This window comes from Homo sapiens, chromosome 7 (assembly GCF_000001405.40).
Source record: "Homo sapiens chromosome 7, GRCh38.p14 Primary Assembly".
Lineage (NCBI taxonomy): Eukaryota > Metazoa > Chordata > Mammalia > Primates > Hominidae > Homo > Homo sapiens.
In genome coordinates this window covers 12,534,511-12,543,213 of record NC_000007.14, presented here as the reverse complement: position 1 = coordinate 12,543,213, position 8,703 = coordinate 12,534,511, and the positions used below count along the sequence as shown (strand labels likewise).

General features: G+C 40.2%; 1 protein-coding gene across 8 annotated transcripts in view; it reads right to left on the bottom strand.

The window, feature by feature from the left end:
* Window positions 1–1,025: 1,025 nt before the first annotated feature.
* Window positions 1,026–8,703, bottom strand: part of C7orf78 (chromosome 7 open reading frame 78) — a 58,845-nt gene continuing 51,167 nt past the window's right edge. For 2 of the 8 annotated variants that reach the window (NM_001386512.1, NM_001386514.1), the window contains one exon: window positions 1,944–2,294. In NM_001386512.1, the coding sequence (NP_001373441.1) occupies window positions 2,291–2,294 (4 nt within the window). In that variant the 3' untranslated portion in view covers window positions 1,944–2,290. Of the gene's footprint in view, window positions 2,295–4,002; window positions 4,905–8,703 lie in introns of those variants that run through there. The other 6 variants (NR_136262.1, NR_136263.1, XM_047419721.1 and 3 more) reach the window with 5 other exon arrangements.

Below are 8,703 nucleotides of genomic sequence, written 5' to 3'. Positions count from 1 at the left end.
GAAGAACTTTGGCTTAAGATGTAAAGACATTGGAGGGTTCTAAGCAGAAGAGTAATATGATAAAAATTGCATTAAAAAAAGTCAGACAGACAAGTCTGCTGTTGTGTTGAGGATAGACTGAGGTGGGTGTTACCTCCAGTGGACATGTAGATTGGAGACTATTGTAATAATTAAAGCAAGAGATGATAGGGTTTGGACTGGTGTATTTACTGGAGGCAGCAGAAACTTGTTGGGCTCATGATATAACAGCTTATAGGCTGTAAGATAAAAAATGAAAAAAAGGGTGTCTCCATTTTATTTTTATTTTTTGCCTTAGCAAGTACAAGAATGGAATTGCTATTAACTGAGATAAACAAGACTGTGCAGGAATTGGCAAATAATATCAGGGTTAAATTTTGGATCTGGTGAGTTTGAGAGAATGTCTAAAAAGAGATCACGGGGAGATGTCAAGGAAGTTGTCCTAGGTGAGCGTCTAAGAGTCTGGCGTTCAGAAGATATTTCAGTGCTGGGTATATATATTAGGAAGTCTTGGGTGTGAACGTGTTATTGGTGACATTTAAACCAATAAGAATGAATGACATTAGGAGGAGGCTGAGGTGGGAGAATCAAAGCCAGGAGTTTACAGTGGGCCATGACTGTGTCACTGCAGGAGTTTACAGTGGGCCATGACTGTGTCACTGCACTCCAGCCTGGGCAAGAAAGAGAGACTCTGTCTCTAAAAGAAAAAAAAAAAAAATAAAACGATGAGATTACCAAGAGAGTGTATATAGATAAGAAAGAGATCAGGCCTAGGACTAAGTCCTGGGGCATTTCAGCCTTTCTACTCGCATAACCTGAGTAAATTCAGGTATCTGATTTATTTAATCCAGTATTTGCTGCATTTCTTTTTCTAAAGAGCACATTTCTTTTCAAGAATTACACATTAAAATTCCAGGGAACTTAAATTATGCAAAATATCCTTTGGGAAATGATTTAATTTCATTGCCTCATCTTTCCACTTAATGTTGCTTATGTCAACAATGCTATTAAATACGTACTTGCCTTTATTTCAGTAGTTTTCATAGTGAAATTGGAAAGGTGATAGGATAATCCATTTGATAAAACTGGCAATAGCATTAAATCCTACCCTCCCCTTTTATTAATTTTCAATTATAATCATCAAATCTTGATCAGAAGCAAAGAAGTTTCAAGTCATTTGTTTTCTTTCCCTCAAAATATTTAAACAAAAATTTAGAAAATTATTTTAACATGTTAAAAGACAGACCTTTCCTTCTAGTTGGAACTATAAATTCTCCAAGCCTGGTGTTCTTTAAGAAGGACATTTATTATTTCTGTTACTTGGAGATCTTCTCTCTTTTGATATACTTGAGTGTCTCAGAGAAGCTTCTTAAAGTGTATTAGAAAAAACTGAAAAATGAAGATTCAAATATTGATTTCAATATGCCATAAACATACTAAATAAATGTTGATTATTTCAACCTATGCCACCTTGTATATGTGAACACAAAGCTCATACATATACTCTTTTTCTTTTCTTTTCTTTTTCTTCTTTTTTTTTTCAGAAATAAACACTATCACTAACCATCTGGTATCCTATGATTCCTGAAAATAAAATCTATTTCTAGGAACAATTTAAACCGTAGAAGAACTTCACTGTGTCATGAATTAAACTTTCCTATTTTTTTGTCTTTGGATGACATCCTCTGGGAAAGTGCCCCATTTATATTTCAGTGACTTCAATTCTGGTTGCTACCTTGTTCTCTATTTTTTAAAGTAAAAATATTTGATTTTTAACTACTACTTTCCCACACAGCATAACAGTCATCCTTTAGTAGAATATATGCTATATCCAGAGAATTCTTATTTCTATGAAGGAGGCAAACAGATAAAATTTGCAATCTTTGGCCTTAGAGAAACATGGTGGTCAAAATTAGTAAGCATTATTGTTGTTTGTCTCACATTAGCTTTACCTGAGACTAGAGCATCTTTAACTTTGGACATTAACAGAAAGCACATTATCAGCATTTCCACTCATAGTTGCAAGATCTAACTTTCACAAACTAAATCAAAAGCCTTATGATTGGATTCTGATCCCTGTGGTAACAAGGGAATTTCAAATTATGCAACTTTCATTTGTTGTTTTAGCACTTTCTCATGCCTCTGGGAGAGTGCAGATTTCTGTAGAATCCAGGAAGGTGCCAGAATTCATCAATGTTCTCACTGGGAAATGCACGGGAGATGAACATTCAGGCCAGAGTTCAGGAAGCCCTATGCTGTTTTGGTCCATCAGCTATCTAAATGAACAAAAGAGAAATGTGTGAACAGAATTCACTGAATCAGTTTCTATAAAGGGTGAGACTTACCTGAAAGGTCACTCCTGGGACAAGAAACTTGGCTGCAAATGCTAGATGTCATTTGCTTAATCCTCTTATTCACTACAGAAATAACTAAAACCAAGCTTATAAAGGCATGATAACAAAAAAGAATGGTTGAACATGACTACAACTATGATGTGGAAGTAGAACTATACTCTGTTGGCCAAACGGTCAAATTTATTTTTCGTACTTACCAGAAAGCATGCACATGCAACTGAGGGCAACAGTACAAGGTGTTTTGGAGTGCCATCTTGAATAAGTGATGTTAACATTAAATTCCCAGTGAAGACTTTAGTTTCCCAGCTTATAAAATTATAACAACAATAATAATAATTATAATACCTGACTAAACACTGCATAGTCTGAAGACAATTGAGTGAGGTTATGCCTATGAAAATGATTGCACATTACTGAGTTTGATGTATAAATGCCAATTAAAAGCTGCAAAAATTAAGGACTTCTAAATACATCCTGTCTTACACAATTCAACTTTTCCTTCTGTATTAGCACCAGTAGGGTAGAATAGTGCAGGGAAGTGTTACAATGAGGCTTCCCACTTAGGTGAGGGGAGACAGGAGCTCCTTTAGAGAAGGGCTATAAGTTTTTAAAGGATGTGGAAATGGGATGTGTTTCCTGTTGCCTTGAAATGGAGGAAAAGCCTCAAAGCTAAAACTAGGAGACAGGTTGGTTCCTTCAAACCAAAGGAAGCCAACTTCCTGATTTCTTACACATGGACAAGAGTTTTCCTTTATATAAACTCCTATGTTCCATTGAAACCAACCCAATAATCCCATAGACTGTTCTTTTTGATACACATAGAAATTGACCTTTCTGTTCTTAAAGCTTGAAGCTTACATTTGTTTTATCTGAGTTCCTTCCTCAGGAAAGCACCTTCAGGCCTCTTAAAAAGGTATCCAAGAAGTGAAACTCACCAGATCATGACATCCTAACAATGAGAAGCCTGGAGCCCTCATTCATCATGATTGCATCCTTGCCTCTCCCTAGTTCCTGTTTCTTACACATTGTTACATTTCTTTCTACAGAAGAATGTTATATAAACCCATAGGTTTAGTCAGTTAGAGAGATGGATTTGAGCCTGAGCTCTCATCTCCTTGACTGCAGCACCTGATTAAAGACTTCTTCCTTGGCAATACTCATTGTCTCAGTGATTGGCTTTCTGTGTGGTGAGCAGCAGGACCTAGACTAAACCCCTGGTGTTTTGGTAACACCATCAAGAAACTGCTAGAAGTTCTATCCCTATGGGGCTTTTTAAAAGGTAAATAGGCCAGACCAACTACTCTCACCCTCTCTTCTGTCCAAATTAAGGAATTAAGGAATAAATCAAACATCTGAAGGCTTTGTTTTTTTGTTTTTTGAGACAGAGTCTCACTCTGTCACCCAGGCTGGAGTGCAGTGGTGGGATCTCGGTTCACTGCAAGCTCCACCTCCCAGGTTCATGCCATTCTCCTGCCTCAGCCTCCCAAGTAGCTGGGACTACAGGTGCGTGCCACCACGCCCGGCTAATTTTTTGTATTTTTAGTAGAGATGGGGTTTCACTGTGTTAGCCAGGATGGTCTTGACCTCCTGACCTCACGATCCGCCCACCTTGGCCTCCCAAAGTGATTGGATTACAGGTGTGAGCCACTGCGCCCGGCCCTAAAGGCTTTGTCTTTTAAAGGAGGCATCACTACCCTTGGGGGAAAGCCCTGAGGAATACCCATTTCTGATTTCTGTGAGAAAGGAAAAAATAAGGTAATCCCTGCAAAGCCAATTCATGAATGCTCAGGATTATCATTTATAAAGAGTAAGGGTGCATATGGGTGAAGGAAGCCAGCAGGCTTGCTCTGGATGAATGCTTGCTGAGCTACAGAACTGCAGAGGCCACCTGTGGAGCCCTTTAGTACAAGGTGTTTGGGGAGCTCCTGGTAGAGGAGTGGTTTCATATATGTCCCCAAGAGGTTTTAAGGATGAGCATTTGATCATAGAGCATCCTGCCTACTTCTTATCTAGAAATGTAAAAATGGGTGGCTCGCAACGTGAGGGAAAGGGGAAAGGAAAACGGGGGTCTTCTGTACTCACGCCATTTGGTGAGCCGTATGGAGGGTTCTGTAAACACAGTGAATTAATGAAATTGATGAGCTCCAGCCATCTTGTGAGTAATCCCACCAATGATAAGATGCCTCTTATCAGACCTGTAAGAGGTAGTGGGCTGAGGCAGGGACTTAGGGCAAGTTGCTGGACGCTGGTTCTCAGAGGACTGTGCCAAATGAGGCCTCTGTCTAGGACAGAGAATAATGCGCAAAAATGTCCTCCATAAGTAGTCACTATTTGAACATCAGCCACACAGAGGATGTCATGGCTGATTACAGTAGTCTCTGTTACCTGAGCTTTTTGCCCCTGTTTCTTCCATTTCTCCTCTGGACACCAACACCTTGGAGATAAAAGGCAGACCAAGAAGCAATGGAGTGTGATTGAGACAGGTGCAGAAAGAGAGAAACAACAGAACGTTCTCTTCCCCAGATCCTGGAGCTACAGGGCAGGATTTTGTTGAAAACAGCAAACAAATTTTGAATTGGATGTGAGATTAGAATGTTAATTTAGAATGAATGAGGCTTTCTTTCTTTCTTTTTGAAATTTAAAACAATTGCAAAGAATCTCCCAATTAAAAAAATTATTAAAGTTTTACATGTACGTATAATAGTGCATAGATATTAAATAAATATTTCTATGGAGTTATCACAAAGTGAATGCATCTATGTAACCAACATCAAGGTCAGAAAATACTACATTTCTGGGACCCAGAAGGTTATTGTACTCCTTTCCTTCAAACCAAAGGAAGCCAACTTCCTGATTTCTTACATGTGGACAAGAGTTTTCCTTTATATAAATGGAATAATAATGCAGTATATACAGATATGTGTATATATATATACATTGTACATATATAGAGCATCTGGCTTTTAAAAAACTCCTAAGTATGTTTGTGAGACTCATCCCTATTGCTTGCATATAGCAACATTTTGTTCATTTTCTTTGCTGTATAATCTATTGTGTAAATATACCATAAATGGATACTTTTATGTATACATTCTATTATTTATTGGCATTGGACTTGTCTCTAATGTAAAGGTTATCACAAGCAATTCTGCTATAAGCATTCCTATATATATCTTTTAGTGCATACAAATATATCTTATATATCAGCTAATTATACAGCATTTAGAATGGAATTTTGTGTCATAGGTTATATGTATGTATACATCCAACTTTAGAATATATTGCAAAATATTTTTCCAAAGTACTTGTTCCAATTCTTCCCCCTCAAGCAGTGTATAGGAGTTCTAATTGCTCTATACCCTTGCCTATTGATATGGTTTGGCTGTATCCCCACCCAAATCTCATCTTGAATTGTAACTCCCACAATTCCCATGTGCCATGGGAGAATCCCAGTGGGAGGTGATTGAATTCTGGGGGCAGGTTTTTCCTGTGCTGTTCTTGTTATAGTGAATGAGTCTCACGAGATCTGATGGCTTTAAAAATGGGAGTTTCCCTGCAAAAGCTCTCTTCTCTTGTCTGCTGCCATGTGAGATGTGCCTTTCACCTTCCGCCATGACTGTGAGGCCTCTCCAGCCATGTGGAACGGTAAGTCCAATAAATCTGTTTCTTTTGTAAATTGCTCAGTCTTGGGTATGTCTTTATCAGCAGTGTGAGAATGAACTAATACAGTAAACTGGTACTGGTAGACTGGGATGCTGCTGAACAGATACCAGAAAATGTGAAAGCGACTTTGGAACTGGGTAACAGACAGGGGTTGGAACAGTTTGGAGGGCTCAGAAGAAGAGAGGAAAATGTGCAAAAGTATGGAAACTCCTGGAGACTTGTTGAATGGCTTTGACCAAAATGCTGATAGTGATATGAACAATAAAGTCCAGGCTGAGGTCGTCTCAGAAGGAGATGAGGAACTTGTTGAAAACTGGAGTAAAGGTGACTGTTGTCATGTTTTAGCCAAGAGACTGGCAGCATTTTGCCCCCGGCCTAGAGACTTGTGGAACTTTGAACTTGAGAGAGATAATTTAGGGTATCTGGCAGAAGAAATTTCTAAGCAGCCAAGCATTTAAGACGTGACTTGGGTGCTGTTAAGGGCATTCAGTTTTATAAGGGAAGCAGAGCATAAAAGTTCAGAAAATTTGCAGCCTGACAATGTGATAGAAAAGAAAAAAAGCGTTTTCTGAGGAGAAATTCAACCTGGCTGCAGAAATTTGCATAAGTAATGATAAGCTGAATGTTAAACCCCAAGACAATGGGGGAAATGTCTCCACGGCATGTCTGAGAACTTTTTGGCAGTCCCTCCCATCACAGGCCCAGAGGCCTAGGAAGAAAAAATGGTTTCATGGGCCAGGACCAGGGTCCCCGTGCTGTGTGCAGCCTAGGGACTTGGTGCCTTATGTCCCAGCTGCTCCAGCCATGGCTGGAAGAGGCCAACGTAGAGCTCAGGCTATGGCTTCAGAGGGTGCAAGTCTCAAGCCTTGGCAACTTCCACATGGTGTTGAGCCTGTGAGTGCACAGAAGTCAAGAATTGAGGTTTGGGAGCCTCCGACTAGATTTCAGAAAATGTAGGGAAACATCTGGATGCCCAAGCAGAAGTTTGCTGTAGGGATGGGGTCCTCATGGAGAACCTCTGCTAGGGCAGTACAGACAGGTAATGTGCTGTGGGAGCCCCCACACAGAGTCCTCACTGGGGTACCAACTATTGGAGCTGTGAAAAGAGGGCTACTGTCCTACAGACCCCAGAATGGTAGATTCACTGACAGCTTGTACTGTGTGCCTGGAAAAGCCATAGACACTTAACACCAGCCCATGAAGGCAGCTGGGTGGGAGGCTGTATCCTGCAAAGCCACAGGAGTGGAGCTGCCCAAGTCCATGGGAACTCACCTCTTGTGTCAGCATGACCTGGATGTGAGACATGGAGTCAAAGGAGATCATTTTGAAGCTTTAAGGTTTGACTGCTGTGCTGCATTTCGGACTTGCATGGGGTCTGTAGCCCCTTTGTTTTGACCAATTTCTCCCATTTGGAATTGCTGTATTTACCCAGTGCCTGTACCGCCATTGTATCTAGGAAGTAACTAACTTGCTTTTGATTTTATAGCCTTATAGGCAGAAGGGACTTGCTTTGTTTCAGAAGAGATGTTGGACCGTGGACTTTTGAGTTAATTCTGAAATGAGTTAAAACTTAGGGTGACTGTTGGGAAGACATGATTGGTTTTGAAATGTGAGGACATGAGATTTGGGAGGGGCCAGAGGTGGAATGATATGGTTTGGCTATGTCCCCACCCAAATCTCATCCTGAATTCCCATGTGTTCTGGGAAGGACCCAGTGGGAGCTAATTGAATCATGGGGACAGTTCTTTCCCATGCTGTTCTTGTGATAGTGAATGGGTCTCATGAGATCTGATGGTTTTTAAAAACAAGAGTTTCCCTGCACAAGCTCTCTTTTTGCCTGCTGCCATCCACATAGGATGTGACTTGCTCCTTTTTGCCTTCCACCATGATTGTGAGGTCTCCCCAACCATGTGGAACTGTAAGTCCAATAAACCTCTTTCTTTTGTAAATTGCCCAGTTTGGGTATGTCTTAATCAGCAGCATGAAAATGGATGAATAAACCTATGCTTCCTGTTGTTTATCTTCTTATTTTGGCTATTTTGGTGGGTGTGCAATAGTAGTCCATTGTGCATCTTACTGCATATTTCCCTGATTACTTGTGAAGATGAACACATTTTCATGTTTTGTCATTTAGAGATCTTCTTGTATGAAATCTGTTTCCTTCCTTCCTTCCTTCCTTCCTTCCTTCCTTCCTTCCTTCCCTCCTTCCTTCTTCCCTCCCTCCCTTTCTTTGAGACAGGGTCTTGCTCTGTCCCCCAGGCCGGAATGCAGTGGAGAGAACACTGCAGCCTCAACCTTCTGGGCTCAAGTAAATCTCCCGCCTCAGCCTCTAGTGTAGCTGAGACCACAGGTGTGTACTACCACATCTGGCTAATTTTTTAAATGTTTTGTAGAGACAGGATTTCCTAATGTTGTCCATGCTGGTCTCAGCCTCCTGGGCTCAAGAGTTCCTCCCACTTTGGCTTACCAGTGTTGGAATTATAGGAATGAACCATTATGCCCAGCCTCCTGTTATTTTCCATTGGATTACATGCCTATTTCTTATTTATTTGCATGAGTTCTTTATATATTATTAATATAAACCATTTTCTTGCTTATATGAGTAGCAAATATTTTCTCTAAGCTCTCTGTCTGCCTTTTCACTCTCCTAATGATGTATTTTAACAGA